At 44.7% G+C, this 21431-nt stretch overlaps 2 long non-coding RNA genes and 1 pseudogene across 3 annotated transcripts in view, besides 3 other annotated features; 1 reads left to right on the top strand and 2 right to left on the bottom strand.

Annotated features, from left to right (window-relative positions):
- Positions 1864-1963: an enhancer, noted in NCBI's record as "active region_10904". NCBI's record gives its function as "activates an Ori minimal core promoter by ATAC-STARR-seq in GM12878 lymphoblastoid cells {active_cell/tissue: GM12878}" and the evidence as "EXISTENCE:reporter gene assay evidence [ECO:0000049][PMID:35858748]".
- Positions 4788-21431, top strand: part of LOC105371291 (uncharacterized) — a 41734-nt gene continuing 25090 nt past the window's right edge. For both annotated transcript variants that reach the window (XR_933627.4, XR_933626.4), the window contains exon 1: positions 4788-5082. This is a non-coding gene — a long non-coding RNA (uncharacterized LOC105371291). The remainder of the gene's footprint in view (positions 5083-21431) is intronic.
- On the bottom strand, positions 6272-8712 carry HMGB3P32 (high mobility group box 3 pseudogene 32; annotated as a pseudogene).
- Positions 11475-11554: an enhancer, noted in NCBI's record as "active region_10903". NCBI's record gives its function as "activates an Ori minimal core promoter by ATAC-STARR-seq in GM12878 lymphoblastoid cells {active_cell/tissue: GM12878}" and the evidence as "EXISTENCE:reporter gene assay evidence [ECO:0000049][PMID:35858748]".
- On the bottom strand, positions 13663-16455 carry LOC107984889 (uncharacterized). Its single transcript, XR_001752212.2, has 2 exons — positions 16336-16455; positions 13663-14317 (listed from the first exon to the last, which is right to left on the bottom strand). It is a non-coding gene; the product is annotated as an uncharacterized LOC107984889 (long non-coding RNA).
- Positions 18819-18898: an enhancer, noted in NCBI's record as "active region_10902". NCBI's record gives its function as "activates an Ori minimal core promoter by ATAC-STARR-seq in GM12878 lymphoblastoid cells {active_cell/tissue: GM12878}" and the evidence as "EXISTENCE:reporter gene assay evidence [ECO:0000049][PMID:35858748]".

Genomic DNA, 21431 nt, shown 5'->3' with positions numbered 1-21431 from the left:
GGTTGGTGCCTTTGAAGACTATGAAAGAGAATCTGTCCCACACCTCTCCCCCTGGTTTCTGGTGGTTGGCTGGCCATCTTTGGCACTGCTTGGCTTGTAGAAATTTCACTCCGATCTCTGCCTTCATCTTCACATGGTGCCCTCCCTGTGTGTGTGTGTCTCTGTCTGATTCCCCCATTTTGTAAGCACACCTGTCATATCGGATTAAGGCCCACGCTAATAAACGCCAATTAACTTGCTTACTTCTGTAAAGACTTTATCTCCAAATAAGCTCACATTCTGAAGTACTCAGGGTTAGAACTTTAACTTAAGAATTTGGGGCAAAGAGGAACAGGATTCAATCCATTACAACGAATGATGGTGGTAAAATAATCAGAAAGTGTTTCATTCTGAGTATTTATTATCTTTTTAAATACACAGTCATGAGTCACTGAACAAGGACACATTCTGAGAAATGCGTCATTAGGTGATTTTGCCATTGTGCAAACATCATAGAGTGCATTTATCCAAACCTAGAGGATGCATTTTAAAATTTATATATTCTTACATGGAAAACCAAATGTCCCAGCACCGTTACTGAATATCAGTCATTTCCCCCTAGTTGATCTGCAAGGCCAATATGAAGTGCTATCTGTAGCTTTCTTTATATGACCCATATAATCTTATGGGACCACCGTCATCTATGTGGTCTGTCATTGCCCAAAACGTCATTATGCAACACATGACTGTAATTTAATTTTGTGTATGTAATTTAATTCTTAACAGTGGCTATGTTTAACAACCAACTCACAAAATGCCTAAAAATTTAACCACCAGTTCTTGCAAGCCAAAACAGCAAGCTCCAACACACCCCTGGCCCTTGCCTGCCCTCAGCCCTGTCCTGGGTCCCCATCTCACCTCCCTGCAGGCTCCTATGAGGGGCAGGTCAGGAAAGCTGTATTCAGGTCCCGTACATCTCCTCTCAGGAACCTTCAAAGCCTGGTCTCCTCCTACTCAAGAGGGGCCCTGAAGAAAAGACACTCCAGTGACAAGCTGTGGTCACAGGGCTGTCCAGCCTGACCCGTGGAGAGCTGAAGCGGTCCAAGTGCTCAGCACCAGGAGATGGCTCAGAAAGCACAACCCAGGTTTGTCCTCTGGGGTCACCAACCATCTCATTTTGCCGGGGACTGTCTCTGCTTAGCACTGAAAGCTCTGCCTCCTGGGAAACCTCTCAGTTCCAGTAAACTGAGAGAGCTGGTCACCCCCCAGCTCATGGTCATATGGTCACAACAAAAGGAAAACGCTTATACAGTTGGCCCTCTGCACAAGTCGTTGGGGGCATGACTGAGGGACATGAGCATCCTACAATTTGGTCCCCCACAGGTATTGGGGGATGACTGTAATACAAAATTCAGTGAAATAAGCAGAAAACAAAGGCAATGTCTCCACCTGTCTCAGGGACCTGTTTCCCCACTCAAAGACAGGGCTGCTACCCAGGGGCCACTTGGAAAAGCTCTGCACAGAGTGAACAGTGATGTCAAATTGATGCTTCCAGGTCAAGCTGAGAGGTGGCAGGGATGACAGGCAAGAAGAGGCAGCCCTGAGGAGGTGGCAAGCACAGGACCCTGGAGGTGGATTCCAGTCCTCACTGTGTGACCTTGAGGAGGCGACCTGCCCCTTGGTGCCTCAGTTTCTCCATCTGTGACAGGTTTCTTCCTCACTGGGTGGTTGTGCAGCTTTAGTGAGATCAACCATAGACAGCACAGTGCGGGGCTTATTGCCAGCACTTAAGCAGTGCTTTTAGGAAGCCGAGCCAACTGATAGCATTGTGCGTGCCTTTTTTTTTTTCCATTTTAGAATTGTTTCCATTATAGCTGTTCTAATGTTATTTGTGCAATCAAAACAAAACCAAATCAAACCCACAAGTATCTAGGTACATAATGTATATAAATAGAATCTGAAACCAAATGTTGGACTGTAGTGGGGGTGCATAGGGCTGCTCCCCAGCTGTCACAGCTGGCCCCAAAGCACGCCATACTCGGAGGCATAGCTTTAGAAGAGCTGACAGGAGACGCAGTGGTGCCTCCCTGAGGTTACGCCAAGTCATGCCAGAACTAACACCCGAGCAGGCAGCTCTGGCTGCTGAAGAAAGAGAGGGCAGGTGGGCGCAGCTCCTAAGACAGAGAAGGTGTTTTTGTTTCCGGCACAGCCCGACACAGAATGGCTCAGGTCCACCTCTGCAGCTTGACACAGATTCTATTTGCCATGCAGACTGATCTCAGCAATTTGGGGCTGCTGTGGCCCCACAGGGAGGAAACCGAGCTGCATCGCACAGAAGGGTCAGCCACATCCCCCAGTTGCATGGGGATAAAGCCCTCTGCTTTTCCACTTGTCTCTGAATTCCTGTCCCAGGAATTAGGATTTCTTGTGCAGGCTGGAATGAGCAAAATACTTAGGGTGTAACATTTAAGGAGGTGCCCACCGTCAGTGCCAATGGCCCTGCACCTCACTTTAATCTTCATGTGATTCTATTAGGCAATCTCTATTATTATCCCATTTCGTTGTCCAAAAAAGGAAAAAAAAAAAAAAAAGAAAGGAAGAAAAAAAGAAAAAGAATAAGGCTCAGAGAGCTGATGTTACTTGCCCTGAAAAGTGACAGAGCCAAAATTCAAACCCAGACCCATCAGATTCCAGCACCTAATGGCTTAACCATTGGGCCATCCTTTCTCCTGAGTACATGGGCACCCAGGTGATCCTCAAGTGACCAGTGCGGCAGAAAATACGCTGAGGCTGAGTGTGCAGGCGGCAGCTGCAGTCCCAGCTCTGTCCAGGCTCACCGGGTGACCTTGGGCAAGTCTCTTTTTTTCTCTGTGCCTCAATTTCCTTGTTTATAGAAGCTGGTGGCTATGCTGGGCCAAGAGTCACAAACTACAGTGCCCACAGCGGCCAGGCTGCAAAGCTAATGAGAGCAGGAAGGGGGCAGGGTGGGAGACAATAGGGAGTGGGGGGACCTGGGGTGAACTGGAGAGTATGGGCCACGCTGGGGAGCACTGCCCAGCTCCAGTGAACTGTCACTTGAGGAAATATGAGCCCCATGTGGCCTGATCCTTCAGTTTTTTCAAGGAAGCCAGAAATTTGAAATTAATGTGAAAATCTTAATTGTTATAAGTTGGGGATGAATTCAAATGGATTTAAAGCCTGTCATAAGCCAAACAAAGCCTATCTAAGGCTAGATCTCACCCTCGGGGCCTCCAGCAAGCAACCTCTAGATTCCATGTCAGAAGCTGTAAGTGTTCCTCAATATCCACCTCCCCTTTCTATACCAATAGAACCCCATATTTTCGCTGGGTTCATGGCCCCCTACAATAAAGACATTATTACCTAACATTCCTTGGAACTGGGTGGCCACATGACCAAGTTCTGAACAATAGGATGCAGCCATCAGTAAAGTCTGCAAATCTTGCATCATGCTCTTAAAAAAAAAAAAAGAGGTGCACCCTTTTGGAGGAGCAAAAAGGGAAGGGGTATGAGTGCCCAAAGTCCAGGAGCCACCACAGCCACCGTGCAGCCTGGTCCCTCGCATGGGATGGAAGTAAACGGCTTCTTGTTTATATGGGTTCTTACTCTTGAGTTTGTTACAGCAGCCAAAGTCATAACCTACCTAGCACAGGCTCTTTCAGGGATCTTCCTCAGGGCTCATAATTTTAAAGCCAGAAGGCTCCCACAATCCTCAATTCCCACCCCCATTCCTGACCATATACCTATTTTACAGATGGGGAGACCAAGGTTCAGAAAGGTGGAGAGTCTGTAACTTAATGAGTGAACAGCCTCTCTAAATGCAGACACAGCATAAATAGGACCCTTCTTCTACCCCAAATAAAGCTGCCAGGAGCTCATGTCTGGGAAAAGGGACTACAAGGGTGGGGACGGTGCCACCCGCATCCTCTCAGGGGCCACCGTGTGCTAGGCAAAGCCTTTCTTCACTGCTAGGGGCCCCTACAAGTCCCAGGCTTGCACCCCAACCCCGTGTTTCTTTGTTGTCTGCCCCCAGCCCGCAAGCCCATGTCTCTCTGGGCTGAAGAGGCCTTCAGGACATCCTTTTTTTTTTTTGAGATGGAGTCTCGCTCTGTCACCCAGGCTGGAGCGCAATGGTGCCATCTCAGCTCACTGCAACCTCCGCTTCCCAAGTTCCAGTGATTCTCCTGCCTCAGCTTCCCGAGTAGCTGGGATTACAGGCATGCGCCACCACGCCTGGCTAATTTTTGTATTTTCAGTAGAGACAGGGTTTCACCATGTTGACCATGCTGGTCTCAAACTCCTGACCTGAAGTGATCCGCCCGCCTATTCCTCCCAAAGTGCTGGGATAACAGGCATGAGCCACCATGCCTGGCCAGCACTGGTAATTTTTTAAAGCTCCTTCTACCCCTATACACCCCCACCCCCACACCCGCCCGATGGCCCCAGGCGACTGCAGGGTTGGGGCATGTGAGTCTGGTGGTTTCGCCCTAAGGGTCCTGGGTATCTGGTGCTCGGCACTTTGCCAGTCTCAGCCACTGGCTCAGCCTTTCCCCTGGAGATATAGAGGCTATGGGGGCAGTGATCTGGAAGGCCAGCTGTGTAGAAGTCCCTGAGGGTCAAAGTCTAGGTCTGGCAGTGTTGGAGAATAAAACCCTTGGCTGGCCAAACACTGGGAGGCTGCACCTGCTGCTCTGCAAATATGCCTGCCCCTGCCTGAGCAGGAGGCCTCAGCCAGCCCTCAGCAGGAACCCAGCCAGGGCCACCCACCCCAGCCATGCTAAGCCTCTGCCAGAGTGAGAGAGGCCCGCGTGGGCCAGGGGTGGCACAAGAGTCACTCTCAGGGTGGGCCAAAGGGTATCACAGAGACAGCCCGGCCCTGGAGCCATGCAGACCAGGAGCCGGGTGCCACCTCCAACACCAACTCACAGTGACTTTGGGCAAGTCCTTTTTTTGTCTTGAACCTCAGTGGGCCTAGTCTTGGCAACTGTGCAGTCGAGTGTCCAGCCCAGGGTCTAGACCAGAGCCAGTGGCAGCAAACAGCCCTGTTATCAAGAAGCAACATAACAAGAAGAAAGGAGAAAAAAGGTAAGCTGATTTTTCCTTTTCTGAGTGTTTGCAGAAGTCAACAGATAATGTCCAAGGTTAATAAATCAGGAAATGGCAGTAGAAGCATGTTATTTATGGCTCTGGAGGTAACTGCCACATGAGCTCGAACTATTAGAAGTGGTTGCCTCTGGGGAGGGGGCTTGCAGGAAATGGGCTTTTCACTATAAGTCCTTTTTACCAGTTCGTGTTTTTTAATGTCTATTTAGAAGTATTTATTAAAAAGTGACTCTGCCCCTCCACTCTTGATTTTCCAGGTCATCCCTGTTAACAGAAGTATTTTTGGCCTATAAGGCCATGTATAGGGTTAAGTGCTCAGACTGTGGAGTTGGGCTGCCAGAGTTCAAATCCTTGCTCTGTAACTTACCAGCTGTGCCGCCTTGGGCAAATTACTTAACCACTCTGTTCCTGTTTTCTCATATGTAGAATGGGAGTAATAATAATTCAATGCTCCTGGTTTACACAGTAAACATTCAGTAATTGTGAGACATGATTATTATATATCCCTGTAACTCATATATGCAATTGTTTTACAAAAATAGAATTAGTATGCTATACACAGTGTTTGCAACTCGCTTTTCTTTCTCTTGCCAAGTTATAATGGATATCATTTCTGCTTAGAATGTATAGTTCCATCTCATTCTTTTTCATTAGTACAAGAATTCCATTGCATAGAATGTAAAATTATTTAGCCATAACCCTCTATTGAAGGAAATTAAGGGGTCCTATTTTTTAGTGTAATACACTTTGCAGTAATTAACATATATATTTTGGCACATGTGTGGCTATTTCTAAAGGAAAGATACCTAAAAGAGGGATTACTAGGTTATAGAATTGTGCAATTAAAAATTGTACAGATACTTGAGCCGGGGAGGTCAAGGCTGCAGTGAGCATGATGGCACCACTGCATTTCAGCCTGGGTGACAGAGCAAGACCCTGTCAAAAAAAAAAAAAAAAAGGTATAGACACTGCTAAATTGCCCCCTTAAAAAGTAGTACCAATTTAGAGTCCCACCATATCCATTCCAATGTGGAGGTGATCTCTCTAGATGGGCAAAAAATTGTTTTAGTGTGCCTATTGTAATTCTGAGTGGAACCGAGCATCTTTTCATAACTTCATCATCCATTTTTCTTTCTTCTCCTGTGAAACAAATGTTTATATCCTTTATCCAACTTAAAAAAAAGTAATACTGTTTATTTAACTTCAAAAACATTTCAGCATTCTAAACATACAAAAAAAATAACAGAATGTTGCAAATCGTGTTTAAGGACAGAAGGTTCCTGAATTTTCATTGCAGTGACTCTTTGCTTTAGTGACAATGAAGAGTTCTACAGTTTAAAAACCACCACACTTAACTAAAAAACAAAACAAAAACTAAACACTTCTCATGCCAGCTGACCCCCCCATCTTTGCCTTTAGCTAAGAATGGCAGCAGAAAGCTGTCACCACATACAGAAACAAGACAACTTGAAGCTAAATGAATGCCCACTGCACAGTGAACCGGTCCAGCGTCACGGTGCATGCCCTCAGCTATGGCCCCTCCAAAAGGCACCTTCCCCACAGCCTCAATGCCAGACAAGAAGCATCAAGAGCTTGCCTCAGTTGTTTTATTCTTTTTACAAACTATGGACATATACAGTTGATAACTCAGGATTTCTAGCCAATAACCATATAGTTAACACCATCTTACAAATTATAAAAATGCCAGAAACATGGTTTCTTTGTTTGTTTTGTTTTGTTTTGTTTTGTTTTGAGACGGAGTCTCACTCTGTTCCCCAGTCCGGAGTGCAGTGGCGTGATCTCGGCTCACTGCAAGCTCCGCCTCCTGGGCTCAAGCGATTCTCCTGCCTCAGCGTCTCAAGTAGCTGGGATTATAGGCATGCGCCACCATTCCCGGCTAATCTTTGTATTTTTAGTAGAGACAGGGTTTCGCCATGTTGGCCAGGCTGGTCTCGAACTCCTGACCTCAGGTGATCCGCCCACCTCGGCCTCCCAAAGTGCTGGGATTACAGGCGTGAGCCACCACACCCGGCCCAGAAACATCTTTAAATGCCCTGTCACACCAACAGCAAAGTGCACAGAGTGAGAATATGAGAGGGCGTTTTCATTTTAAAATGTTCGGAGGCTGGGCATGGTGGCTCATGCCTGTAATCCCAGCACTTGGGGAGGCCAAGGCCAGCGAATGGCGAATGGCTTGAGCCCAGGAGTTCAAGACCAACCTAGGTGACATGGTGAAATGCCATCTCTACAAAAAATAAAAAAATTAGCCATGTATGGTGGCATGCACCTGTAATCCCAGCTACTGGGGAGGCTGAAGTGGGAGACTCGCCTGAGCCCAGGAGGTGGAGGCCGCAGTGAGCTGAGATCATACCACTGCACACCAGCTTGGGCGACAGAGCGAGACTGTGTCTCAAAAAACAAACAAACAAAGGTTTGGAATTATGTACAACTTTGATACAGTTTCAGGGTGCTCTGGACACCCACGGCCACTTTATGTAAACCACTGACAATTTCTAGAGCACTCTGAGAGACTGCAATATGATCGTGATCAAATTTTGTAATTAAAACTAATGAGGGCAACAGATATTTCTCAAATGAGAGATGAGTCAATTACAACGCGGTCCCCAACCTTTTTGGCACCAGGGACCGGTTTCATGGAAGAAAATTTTCCACGGACGGGGGTCAAGGGTGGGGGCAAGGGGGGGATAGTTTTGGGATGAAACGGTTCCACTTCAGATCATCAGGCATTATTTAGATTCTCCTAAAGAGCACTCAGCCTAGATCCCTCTCATGTGCAGTTTACAACAGGGTTCAGAATCTAATGCCACCGCTGATCCGACAGGAGGCTCAGGTGGTAATACTTGCTCGCCTGCCGCTCACCTCCTCCTGTGACGCCTGGCTCCTAATGGACCACAGACGAGTACTGGTCCATGGACCGGGGGTTGGGGACCCCTGAATTATGACACTCCTCTGCTCTAAGATATTGACAAGGAGATGGATAAACAGGTTTTTTAATTCCTCCTCCTCCTCCTCCTCTTCCTTGTCTACCTTTTTCCAGGCAACTTTAACTTTTGCACCATCGAACTTTCCTTCAGACTTCGAGTCAGCAACACCCTTCTCACACTTCTTCAGCTTGCTGCCGTAGTGATGTCAGGCAGCTTTGCACTGTCACTCAAGTTATTCCATATCTCACTCAGCCTTTTTGCCACATCTCCAATAGAGATGCCAGGGTTTGTGGATTTGTCCTCGGGGCAGAATTCTGAACAGAACAGGAAGAATCCAGATGGTAGCCTTTTGGGGGCTTTAGGGTCCTTCTTCTTGCCTCCCTTAGCTGGTCCGTAATTCTTTATTTCCCAATCATAGAGTACTTCATCCACCTCGGTCATTTCGTCAGGCTTAGACTTCTCTTTTCCACACATTGTCTTCCGCCTCTCAGAGCACTTCTTGGAAATTTCTGTGAAATTGACAAGAACCTCTGGGTTTTTCTTCTTGCATTCTTCTCTGCATGTCTGCATAAAGAAGGCATAAGCAGACATCTCACCTTTTGGTTTCTTGGGGGTCATCTTTAGCCATCCTGACTATATTGTCGCTAGTCTGGGCAACGCAGGGCACCTGCTTTACACATTTTTAATTGGGCTTTTTGCCACTTTCTTACTGATTCATAGGACCTCTTTGCATATTAGAAACCTTAATTCTTTAATACATATGAGCCAAATATTTTCCCAGGATCTTCTGCATGCTTTTAGCTAAATTCTTGGTGTCATTGGTCATAGAAAAGTTTTGCATTTTTATATAGTTAGATGTAGTCTTCCTTTATGATTTCTGGCTTTCATGTCTTGCTTTAAAAGGCTTTTTCTGATTGGAATTTATTTTTAAAATACTCTCCTATATTTTCTTTTTAATACTTTTAGAGTATTTGTTTAACATTTAATTCATCTGGAATTTTTGTGTGCATGAACATGATGTGAGGTAGGGGTCTAATTTTTTGTGGGGTGAGTCTTTTTAAAAATTGATACATAATAGTCATACATACTTATGAGGTACCTGTGATATTTTGATCCATGCACACAATGTGTAATGATTAAATGAGGATAATTAGGATAACCATCACCTCAAGCATTTATTATTTCTTTGCATTGGGAACCTTCCAAATCTCCTATTCCAGCTATTGTGAAATAAAGTATAAATCCTATTAACTATAGTTGCCCTATTAGAATCTAGTTTTGTTTGCATCTGAATGGAGAACCAATTGTCCCAACACCATTTACCGATTAAGTCACCCCTTCCTGCCTGACTTGTGATGTCCCTTTGTCAAAGGCATCTCTCTGTCATTTTATGCACTCTTCTTGTGGTTGGCACATGGCAGAACTCATAAATGTTGACTTTGGGAGCAGCTGAAATGTCAGCTGAATGACAGCGAGCATACGCCACAGTGCAGCTGACCACAGAGCTCACCTCGCAGCTCAGAAGTCAGAACGAGAAATGAATATGAGTGGCTCCCAACATCAGTGAATATTTGTGGCTTTGGTTTTGATGTTGTTTTCAAATCAACTTTGCTTATCTACAATAAAATTTCCACATTTTAAGTGTACAGGGTGATGACTGATGACTTGGCAAACATGTACACTCTCGGACCAAACACACCAACCAAAATATAGAACACGTCCATCTTTCAAGAAAGTTCCTTTGGGGCTCTTTGCAGTCAACCTCCCCTCCACTTCCACCCCAGGCAACCACGATTACCTGAAACCACACGTGTGTAGCACATTGATAACATTTTCAGAGAAATAAATAACCCAGCTGCAGCATGAGCTTGTTGGCTGAGGAGGAAGGCCAACTTCCCCTAAGGGACAGGACTTCTCTCTTGAGGCCGACAAACTCCCCCCTGGGCTGGTTTGGTTAAGAAGAAATGGGGTAATCCAAACCAGGTCTCCCCAGCTTCAGGTAGGCAAGTTCTGTTCCAGTGGTTTTTAACAAGTCTAGAAATCGGCCAGATATTTACTTAATATTTTCTTCTAGATCAACTGGCCTTTTTACATGTAATTCAAAATGATCACTTTTAAAATAAAATATAATATCCCATTAAATGATGAAGGGCACACGCCATAATTAACAAAGGACTAGTGATGATGTAAAATGAAAAATGAATCTCCTGTGCCATCTGAAATCACATGAATACTGCCTCAGGGGGCACCCACAGACATGAAAGAGGTAAGGGAAAAGCAGAGGAAGAATCTGGAACTTCATTCAGGTTGGAGGCTGGTGGTTAGAGGGGAGGGAGAGGGGCAGAAGGGCTGTCTCAACAGAGCTGAGGGGTGAGGGCTCCCTTCATCACTAAAGCAAAGGAGTTGCTTTGGGAACAAACCTGAGTCCACACAGTCCCTTCCTGCAAGGCCATGAGAAGGTCAGAAAACAGCCCCTTAGCTCATAGGTTCTGGGACCTTCCAGCCATAAAAGGAAACAGAGCAGTTTTTGAGGGGCCACTCAAGGGGAAAATACCTTTGGAGTCAGACAGACTGGGATTCACTTCTACTTAGGTGACACTGGGGAAGAGAGTAAGCTTTCTGGGCCTCAGTTTTCTCATCTGTATAATGGATATAATAGCAGTACCTCACTGTAAGGACCGAAAGAAGTGTGGTTTGTAAAGCACATTGCCCAGAAATGATAATCAGTCACCCTTCATTTGCCCTAGGATCCTGAAGGATACAAACACGTGGATATCAGCCTTTGCCCCAATGACTGAGTAGTTAATAAAATCAGTCCCCACTGAAAGAAGTGGGGCTGGCAGTCATGAGTTTTATTAATTAATTGCTCGTTAAAGTTTTTGCCAATGGGAGCAGTTAACTGCCTGTAGGCTGGCAGCCCTAACTAAATGAGAATGGATTCGGGGGTTGGCCTGGAAGCAGGGCAGGATTTGGGTGAGCAGAGGCTCTGGCCACAGAGGGCCTGTAGCACCTACTCCGGAACGCCTTGGCCAAGGCCTCTCCCAGTTCTGGCTTCCTCTGAGGATGGAGGCAAGGGGCCTGCAAGGGCCTGGCAGAGGCAGGAAGCGGGCACCGGTGGGCTGGGAATTACTCTTTGCATGACTGAGCTGACCCTTTCCCAGGCCATGCGCAAATTAGCTGCTGCAATCCCGCAGGCTCTGCCAGGTGACTGCTGCTGCCACCTGCAGGCACAGGTGAGGAGTGCTCGGTGGTCAGGCCCTTGCCCCAGTGCCCACACTCAGCACTGCCCTTTCCCCCGCGGGAGCACACGGAGATCACGGCCACACACTAGGAGGGACCATCACACCTTTGCCTGATGGGCAGGGCAGGAGGAGCCCTTGAGACTTATCTCAACTGTGCCTTACCCCATTTCATTGAAGGGGTGGGGAGGACTGGAGCCCAGAGAGGGGCAGGGACTGGCTTGAGGTACAGAGTTAGAGGCTGGAACCCAGGTGTCCTGCCTGTGCTCAGGGAAGGCAGGTCTCAGGTGGGCCTGGTGGCCCAGAAAGGGAAGCCTGCCTTCTTGAGTTTGTCCAGCCCAAGGGGAGCAGCAAGTTCTCACCTGGAGTTGTTCATCCATACCTGTGAGAAACTGCTGGCCCAAGCCAGATATTGGGTAAACCTACATAAGTGTTATAGGTGTGGTAACTTTAGAGGCTGCAGATCCTGAAGACTGTGGCTTCCGGGGAGGCAGCTTCATCTCATCAGTTCACTCTATATCACCCAGCTCTTCAGGGTCCTTGAGTAACCTCAGCAACTCTGATACCAAACTTCCCAGTACAGACACAACACTGGGACTTGGTCACATGAGCTGGTGGCAGGAGGAGAGATGATTAGCCCTTCTTCTTGGTTCACCTGTGGGGAACCTGAGTTCCAAAAAGACAGGACTAGGCTATAGTCACACAGCAGCTGTGACGGCAGAGCTGGGACTAGAATCCTGGGAGTCCTGCTTTCAATAATGAAGGCAAAATAGAGACACTTTCTGGCAAATAAAAACTTAGAAAGTTCACCACCAGCAAACCTTCACTAAAGAAAATTCTAACACATGTACTTGAGGTGGAAGGGACCCGATCCAGGTAGAAGGTAGAGGTCACAAAAAGAATAGGGAGCAGAGAAAGCGGTAAATATGCAGACAAATGTACACAAACATTGACTGTATAAAACAGTAACGATTGGCTGGGCATGGTGGCTCACGCCTGTAATCCCAGCAGTTTGGGAGGCCAAAGTGGGCAAATTACGAGGTCAAGAGATTGAGACCAGCCTGGCCAACATGGTGAAACTTCATCTCTACTAAAGACACAAAAAATTACCTGGGCGTGGTGGCACGCACCTGTAATCCCAGCTAGTCGGGGGGCTGAGGCAGGAGAATCATTTGAACCTTGGAACCTTGGAGGTTGCAATGAGCCGAGATCGTGCCATTGCACTCCAGCCTGGGCAACAGGGCAAGACTCTGTCTCAAAAAAAAAAAAAAAAAGAGTAATGATCATATCTAGTAGAGTTTGGAATAAAATGTAAATACCAGACAACATAACATAGGAATTGGGGTTAGGAAGGCAATAGACTCAAAATGTTCTAATATCAATGTGTTGTCCAGAGGGGTAAAGGTTTTCATTAATTGTAGGCTTTGATAAGTTAAGTGTGCATGTTATAATTTCTAGAGTGAACACTAGAAGAGGTTACACACTATGGCCCATGGGCTAAATACAGATTTCAGCCTGTTTTTATATAGCCTGCAAGCTAAGGATGGTTTCTAGATTTTTAAATGGCTATAAAAAATCTGACTTCGGCCCACAGACCCTAAAAAAACCCACTGACTGTGGTCCACAAACCATAAAATATATATTATCTGGCCCTTTACAGAGAAAAGGTCTCTAATCCCTGCACTAAAGGAATAGAAACAGTATGTCATTTCAAACAAGCTAAGGGACAAAATTAAATGATAAAATATATGCAGATCATTTTTTAAGTCCAGACAGAAGAGAAAAAGAATAGAATGAATAAGCAGATAAGCTAAAGTAATAGATTTAATTCTAAACATTTACAAAGTATACACTGTATTTACATTTACATATACATTAAATGTAAATGAACTAAATGCTCCTGTTAAAAGGCAAAGAATTTCAGACTTGATTTGGAATGGGGGGAGGGGAATTATGGTGTTTACAAAAGAAGAGATACATTTAAAGCATAAGAATAAAGTTTAAAGTAATAAGGTAAAAATACTAGTGAAGAGAAAGTTGAAAAATCACCTATGGGGTACAGTGTCCAATATTTGAATGATGGGTATACCAGAGGCCCAATTGCACCATTACACGTGTAATACCCATGTAGCAAACAAGTACATGTACTCCCTGAATCTAACAAACACACACACACACACACACACACACACAAAGGCAGATGTAAGTATTTATATTCATGAAAGACAAAATAAACTTTAAGGCAAAAACCAGAGGAAAAGATAGCAAAAGTTCCTAGGAAGACATAACAATATTAAATTTGTGCCTACAACATAATCTCAAAATATATAAGCAAAACTTAATAGGACTATGGAAGAATCAACAGCCATAATAGAAGATTTTAAGACACCGTTTTCAGTTTAATTTTAAAAACGAGACAAAAGGGTATAAAAGATTTGAAGAACTCTGTTAATAAACTAGACTTAATGAGCATATGTAGAATACTGCACACAATTGTTGTAAGATACATGTTTCAAGCAGAACATTTACAAATTTGGCTCATATTCTGAGCCTAAAACAAATCTTGATAAATTTCTAATTCATGTAATGTTGATCTGACCACAATATAATTAAGCTAAAATCAATAAAAAAAAAACTAGGAAATCCCCATAATGTGGAAAATTTAAAGTCATACTTCTTTATATCACAGAGAAGTTACAATTAAAAACTAAAAACATTTTGAAGTGAATAATAATGAAAATATCATATATATCAAAGCTGGTAGGAAATTTTTCTAAAGTTAATACTTACAGGAAAATATATAGCATATAATAGAAAAGAGTAAAGACTTAAAATTAATGAGCTAATCATCCATTTCAAAGAGCTTAGAAAAAGAATAGTAAATTCAACCCCCCCCCAAAAAAAGTATACGGAAGACCAAAGCACAAGCTAATAAAATAGTAAGCATACAATTAAGAAAATGAACAAAAATCAAAATTGGATCTTTGAAGAGATTAGTAAAATTGGCAAACCTCTGGAGAAATAACGAAGACACTAGAAAAGAAAAGCACAAATAACCTATGTCAGATAGAAAAAGGAGAACATTATTATGACCATAATTATATAAAAAGATAATATTGTGAACAACTTTATGCCAATAAATTTAAATTTTATAAAAAGCCTTAGAAAAGCATTGCTTACCTAAATTGACATAAGTAGAAATAGAAATTCTGAGCAGTCCTAGACATAGAATTTGTATTTATACTCAAAAATCTTCCCACAGTGAAAACTTAAGGCCAGGCAGTTCCACTGGCAAGTTATACCAAACATTCTAGGAATAAATAATAATTCCAAGTTGGCCCCAAACTCTTATGAAGACTCAAACTTGTTTTATGAGGCTGGCATACTCTTGACACCAAAACCCAACTAGACAGTATGAGAAAGAAAAATTACAGGCTACTCTTTCTCAAGAACATAGATGCAAAAATTCTTTTAAAAAATTAGTAAACTAAATCCAGTAACATATAAAAGGATAATGTTAGGTTTAACAAATGCAATACATATTTTACATTACCAAAAAAAGTAATGTAATTCATGACATTAAAAGATCAAAGTAGAAAATTCTAATAATGATCGCAATATATGCAAAGAGATGTTTGACAAAATTCAACATTCATTCATGATTTTAAAACAAACAAAAACCCTTAGCAAACTGGAAACAGAAGGGAACTCCCTAAATCTGATAATATCTGATCTAATATACAGGTATATGAAACACTACAACAGATAGTATACTTTCAGGTGAAACTGTTAAAAACTTTTCCTTGGAGATTGGCAACAAGATAAGGAAGCTCACTATTACCACAGCTGTTAAACTCTTGTTCTGTAAGACCTGGCCTGTGTACCAAGGAAAATAAATAAAATAAAACATACAAGGATTGGAAAGATAAAAATGAACTTTATCATTCACGGATGATATGACGAGTATATGAAAAATGCAAAGCGATCCACAGATAAACTATTATATTCAATGAGAGAGTTTAGCGAGGTTGCTGAATACAAAAATCAATATTAAAACTTCATTGTGAGGCCAGACATAGTGGCTCATATCTGCAGTCTCAGCACTTTGGGAGGCTGAGGCAGGTGGATCACTTGAAGCCAGGAGTTCAAGACCAGCCTGGCCAGCATGGTGAAACAGCATCTCTACTAAAAATACAAAAATTAGCTGAGCATGGTGGCATGTGCCTGTAATCCCAACTACTCAGGAGGCTGAGGCACAAGAATCACTTGAACCTGGGAGGCAGAGGTTGCAGTAAGTCAAGATGGCACCACTGCACTCCAGCCTGGGCAACAGAGTGAGACTGCATCTCAAAAAAAAATAACAATTATGTAAAATTATATAGTAGCCATAAGAATCAGGAAATGAAGATTTTTAAAAAATCACTGCAATAGGCAGCCTCTAAGGAAGTCTCCCAGTGAACCCTACCTCCTGGTATTCACACCTTTGGGTAATCTCATCTTCTTGTATGGGCTGGATTTAGTGCCTCACTTCTAATGAATAGAATATGGCAGAAATAATGGGATGTCTCTTCTGATATTAGGTTATAAAGAGTGTGGCTTCCATCTTGAATACTATCTCTCTCTCTCTCTCTCTCTCTGATACTATCTCTCTCTCTCAGATCACTTGCTCTGGGTGAAGCTAGCTGCCATGTCATGAGGCAGCCCTGTGGATCACCTCCACAGTCAGGCCCTCAGATGAGACCTCAGCCCTGTCCTCCAACTTGACTGAAACCTCATAAGAGACCTTGAGCCATTGCCACTTAGCTAGGCTACCCCTGGATTCCTGGCCCACAAAAATGGGGAGATAAATTTTGTTGTTTTAGCCACTGAGTGTTGGAGTGATTTGTTACATGGCCATGATAACTAATATGACCATCATTTATAATACTTCAAAATATATCAAGTACTGAGAAATAAATCTAACTAGAAATGTGCAAAACCCAGATAAAATTCTAAAACTTAATTGAGAACTAATTTAAGACATGCAGAAATATACAAGATAGGGCACTCACCAGCAGTCTAATACACATGTGGCTGCCTGGTTTATGACAGAGGTGACATTTCTGAATATTGAAGGAAGAGTTGACTTTTCAATAAATGGTGCTAGAACAGTTGGGTATCCCTACGGGAAAAAAAATGAAATTTGACCCTAGCACATACCAGTTACCAAAATCAATTAAAGACCTAAGGGTGAAAAGCTATTAAACTTCCAAGCCATAACATAAACTTTGGAGCAGGGAAGGATTTCTGAAAAAAAAAAAAAAAACACAAAAAAACACTAACCAGAAGTAAGAGTTTAATCAATTAGAATATATTAAACTAAAGAATGTCTGTTTGTCAAAAGACGGCAGGGAAAAAAAAGTGAAAAAGAAAACTCATAGAATGGGAGAATATATTGACAATAATATAACTGACAAAGGAATACTATTCAGAATACATAAATAGCTCCTACAAATCGACAAGGAAGAAATGAAGAGTGAGCCTGAGACAAGGACTTGGGTACAGGCAGTATATCTAGAAGGTCATGCCAGCAGCAGAGTTGGTGGGGGAGGGAGGTAGAAACCCAGTTCACGGGCATTGTCAAGGTCACTGCTGTAGGTACTGAAGACTGGGTTCCTTTGGGACCTCCAAGACCCCTGAGAGTTCCAGGGTTGTTTCCATGAAGGTCAGGAGGCTGGGGCATTTCTCCACCATTCCAGGCTTTCCCACATGGTTGGATGAGTCCCTGGGTAGAATGTGGAAAGACTGGCTTTCTGGCAGTGGGAGGCTCCATGACATGGAGGCTGAAATCAGAGTGATGCTGGCCCCAGATGTGTCTGCTATAGAGCCAAATGACCCAATAAGAAGCTGGAAAAGCATTTGAATAGGCACTTCAAAAGAGGAAATCCAACTGGCCGATAAATACATGCCATGGAAATACAACTTAAAATAACAATGAGCCATCACGACCCACCCATGAGATTTCCCCAAATTAGCCATACGGAGTGTGGCTCTGTGGAACACTTAGGAGGGGGTGGAGGATGGCTAGGAGGGGTTGTAAATTTGTTCAACCACTTTAGAAAGCAGGCATTATCTAGTAACATTGAAGATGCTCATGACCTGTGGTTCAGACAGTCCACTTCCAGATACATAGCCTGCAGAAGTACATGCATATTTGTACCGCTACTCACCTATAAGAATGCTTATAGTAGCATTGTTGGTAACAGCCTTAACCTGCAAACATCCCAACATCCACCAGGAAATTAATGGATTAATAAATCATAGTATGTTCACATATTGGAATAGTATACAGCATTGAAAAGGAACAAACTACTTCTACATACAGCAATGCAGATGAATCTTACAAACATAACATTGAGTAAAAGAAGGTGGGTTTCATTCATGTAATCTTCCAAAATAAGCAAAACTAAAACTGTATTGTTTTAAAACTAAAACTAAAGAGCTAAAACTGTATTGTTTAAAACTGTACAGGTGGTAAAACCATAAATAAAAGTGAGAGAGAGATTCCTCTAAGTGTCGGGATAACGTTTCCCTCTCCAGCACAGTGAGGTTGTGATGGAGGATTGGCGGTGGGGGTTTCTGGGGTGGTGGCAATGTTCTCTTTCTTTACCAGGGTTGTAGTTACACAGGGATTTGCTTTATCATTTTTGTTAAACTATGGGCATATCCTGTGTATTCTCCATTTTTTAATGCTTAAATGTTTACCATTTTTTAATGCTTAAAAATAAATAACTAGGCCAGGCATGGTGGTTCACACATATAATCCTTATGCTTTTGGAGGCTGCAGCAGGAGGGTCACTTGAAGCCAGGAGTTCAAGACCACCCTAGGCAATGAAGCAAGACCCCCATCTCTACAGAAAAATTTAAAAATAGCTGGGCATTGTGGTGCACACCGGTAGTTGCAGCTACTCAGGAGGTTGAGATGGGAAGATCACTTGAGCCAAGGAGTTTGAGGCTGCAGTGAGCTTTGATTGTGCCACTGCATTCCAGCCTAGGCAACAGAGTAGATCCTGTCTCTGAAAATCCACCAATCTATCAATCAAACCGAGCCACACACATCACCAATTCTCTTCCCTCCGTTGGGTTCCCCATCTTAGTTACAGACAGGCCACCCCAACTACCCAAGAGTCCAAGACATCAGCCTTGATGATGCTCCAACCTCACCCTCACCCTCACCTGACCTGCAGTGTGGGTTCTACCTCCCAGCACCTCCCAGAGCCTCGCCCCTCCCTTTATTCCTGCTGGCAGCATGACCCAGGTGTGGTGGCTCATCATCACCTGCTGCTGATGCCCAAGCACAATCTAGGACAGCTACTCCTCCCTGGATGCCACTCCAACCTGCCTCCACCCCCTGCCAGAGTGATCTTCTTGAAACACCACTTGGATCAGGAACTCCCCTGGTCAAAGAGCTTCAGTATCTCCCTACTTCCCGAGCACCATAATTGGCTCTTCCTTATTTTTCTGGTTTCTCTCCAGCTCCTCCCACCGCCACTCTGCTCACCAAGCCCACTCTCCTGCATTCTCTCTCTACCCCCACCACACCCAACCCCAAGCCTGTGCCACTTCCCCTCCCTTTTCTCCTGCCTAACCCTGTTCAACACTGTGGTCTTGGTGTAGAAGTCACCTCCCACAGGAAACCCTCCTGCCCTGCACCACCCGGGCCAGGCTGGGTGACACCTCTCTCCCCACTCTAACATCTGCTAGCGGAAGCAGCCAAGCCCACAGGCTCCAGGCACTCCAGAGAGGTCTGTGTTCTTGCAGCCTGGGTTCCTGGGTAAGGGAACAAATGCAGGGCCTGTCTGAGACCAGAGGCTCCCACTGTGCCAGGCACAGCCTGAAAGCAGGTCTGGCGTGCTTCTGAGAAGCAGGCTTCTCAGCCTTAGCAAAGCTTTCCCTGGACCAAGCCTGGAGGGTGTAGAGAACCACGTTGAGACCACGGAGTCTAACCCCAGGCCCTTCCCCCGTTTTCCTTCCAGGAGCAAGCAACCTAAGCCACCCAGATTTTTGTTTAACCCAATGGCCTTCTCCATAAAGGACGAGTTGAATTTCCTACCCATGCAGGGGATGAGAGGCCTTGGAGTCTAATGTGACATAAAAATTAATATGACATTTTTGCACCTCCGAGCTTGACCACACACATCTCATTATGTTATCACTGCCTGATACTTCTCCACTCCCCAGCAAATGGTGAGCCAAAGGTGGGGGAGTGAAGTGGCAGAAACGGGAACTGGGTCTCCTTCCTTCATAGGGTACCCTGGAGCTGAGCAAGTCCTGGCTCAACAGAAGGTCTCACTGCATGTTGGATAGACAGAGAGTAGATGGACAGGTGTTTGAACATTGGATGGATGGATGGATGGATGGATGGATGGATGGATGAATGGATGGATGAAGAGAAGAGCCCACAGACATTAGAATGGACAGATGAGTGGATGAAGGAGGAAGGAAGGATGGATGGATGGAGGGATGGATGGATAGATGGACAGATGGACACGCAGACATTAGAATGGATAGATGGACGGATGAATGGATGGAGGCTGGACGGATGGATGACGGGTGGAGGACAATGGACAGATGGATAGTCAGATGAATGGCTGGATGAAGGAACAGATGAGTGGATAGATGAGGAAATAGAAGATAAAGCGATAATGGATGGATGGGCAGACAAAAGAATGAACAGATAAATGGATGAATGGACAAAAGTATAAATGGATGGGTGAATGTTAGAACAACAGACAGCCCAACAGATGGATGGACACACTTACCAATGTTCTTCTTTAACAGGACTGGGAAAGTCAAGCCAGGGCCTCAGACCTGCTCTTGTTGGAAATGCTCCACCTCATAGATGGCAGGGATGTCATCGCCACCCACAGGCGCTAGGATGAGGGAAGAAGGCAGAAGTGGCCAGCCCTGACCCCTGGTGGTTGCTATGGGAATGATCACCCCAGAGCCTGGCTTGGCTGCGGGAAGCTGGAAAGGGTGGGACATTCCAGCACACTCTGATCTTCTGTCATCCAGGCAGGCTCCCATCAAAACGTTCTTGGACACAGTTTGCCACATCTATAGTGTGCTAGGCACCAAACCAGGAGTTTTCTTACACTCTGAGGGCCTAGTCTTGGCCAAGCCCTGCTAGAGAGAGCTGCTGGGGCCACTGTGGACAGGTGACTCATACGGCATACATTTATGCATTGCTTGTCACGCCAGGCTGCGAGCCAGCCCACTCACTCCTTTCTCATCAGCCTTTGAAGTAACACCCAGGACAACCCCCATTTGACAGGTGAGAATACAGAGCCTCAGAGAGGCCAAGAGGCTTGCATGGGGCTGTAGCAAGTGAGGGGCAGAACCCAGGCTGTCAGGGAATCTCCCCCTCACCCTGCCCACCCTTAACGACCTTGCTCCCTGCCTCCCCGCCAGACCCTGTGGGGAGGAAAATTGAGGTTGATGTTCTAAGCATGCCGGCCTCAGCATGAACACACACACAGCCCCTCCCACCTCAGATATCCCTGTCCAGTAGGGTCACTCCCAACCTCTCATGGTTCTGGTGGGGAAGCAGAGCCTGGTGTGATCTCGGCTCCAGCACTGAGTAGCTGTATGACCCTGGGCGAGCCACTTAACCTGTCTGTGCTTCAGCTCCTCATGCGTGTTCCCAGTATGATACTAAACACAGGGCTGGTGTCAACATTCAATGAGCAAAAATATTTAGAGAGCATCTGACTCACCGGGAGTGTTTCCTCTTATCATTGCTAGGGAGGAAATGGGCTTGGAGAAGAAAAAGCCTGAATATGGAAGACATAGCAGTTTCCCCCACGCTGTTTCATCATTTTTCAAAAATACGGTGGTATCATCACTCTTCTTAGAAACAGTGCCCCCTCCTTTGCCTGCAAACAAAATCCAAATTCCTGAGTCTCCCCTACCCTTCCCTACCTCCCCTCCCCAGAGGCATCCTGAATTTTGTATGTGCCCTTTACAGCTCTGTCTGTATAGTTCAGTGCAGTATAAATGTTTAGATATGTATTACTTACTTTTTCTTGGCATTAAACCATTATTAAAAAGGTATGGGCTGGGCACGGTGGCTCACGCCTGTAATCCCAGCACTTTGGGAGGCCGAAGT

Source organism: Homo sapiens, chromosome 16, assembly GCF_000001405.40.
Source record: "Homo sapiens chromosome 16, GRCh38.p14 Primary Assembly".
Lineage (NCBI taxonomy): Eukaryota > Metazoa > Chordata > Mammalia > Primates > Hominidae > Homo > Homo sapiens.
Note: the sequence above shows the minus strand (reverse complement) of the source record. Positions and strands in the feature narration are given on the sequence as shown.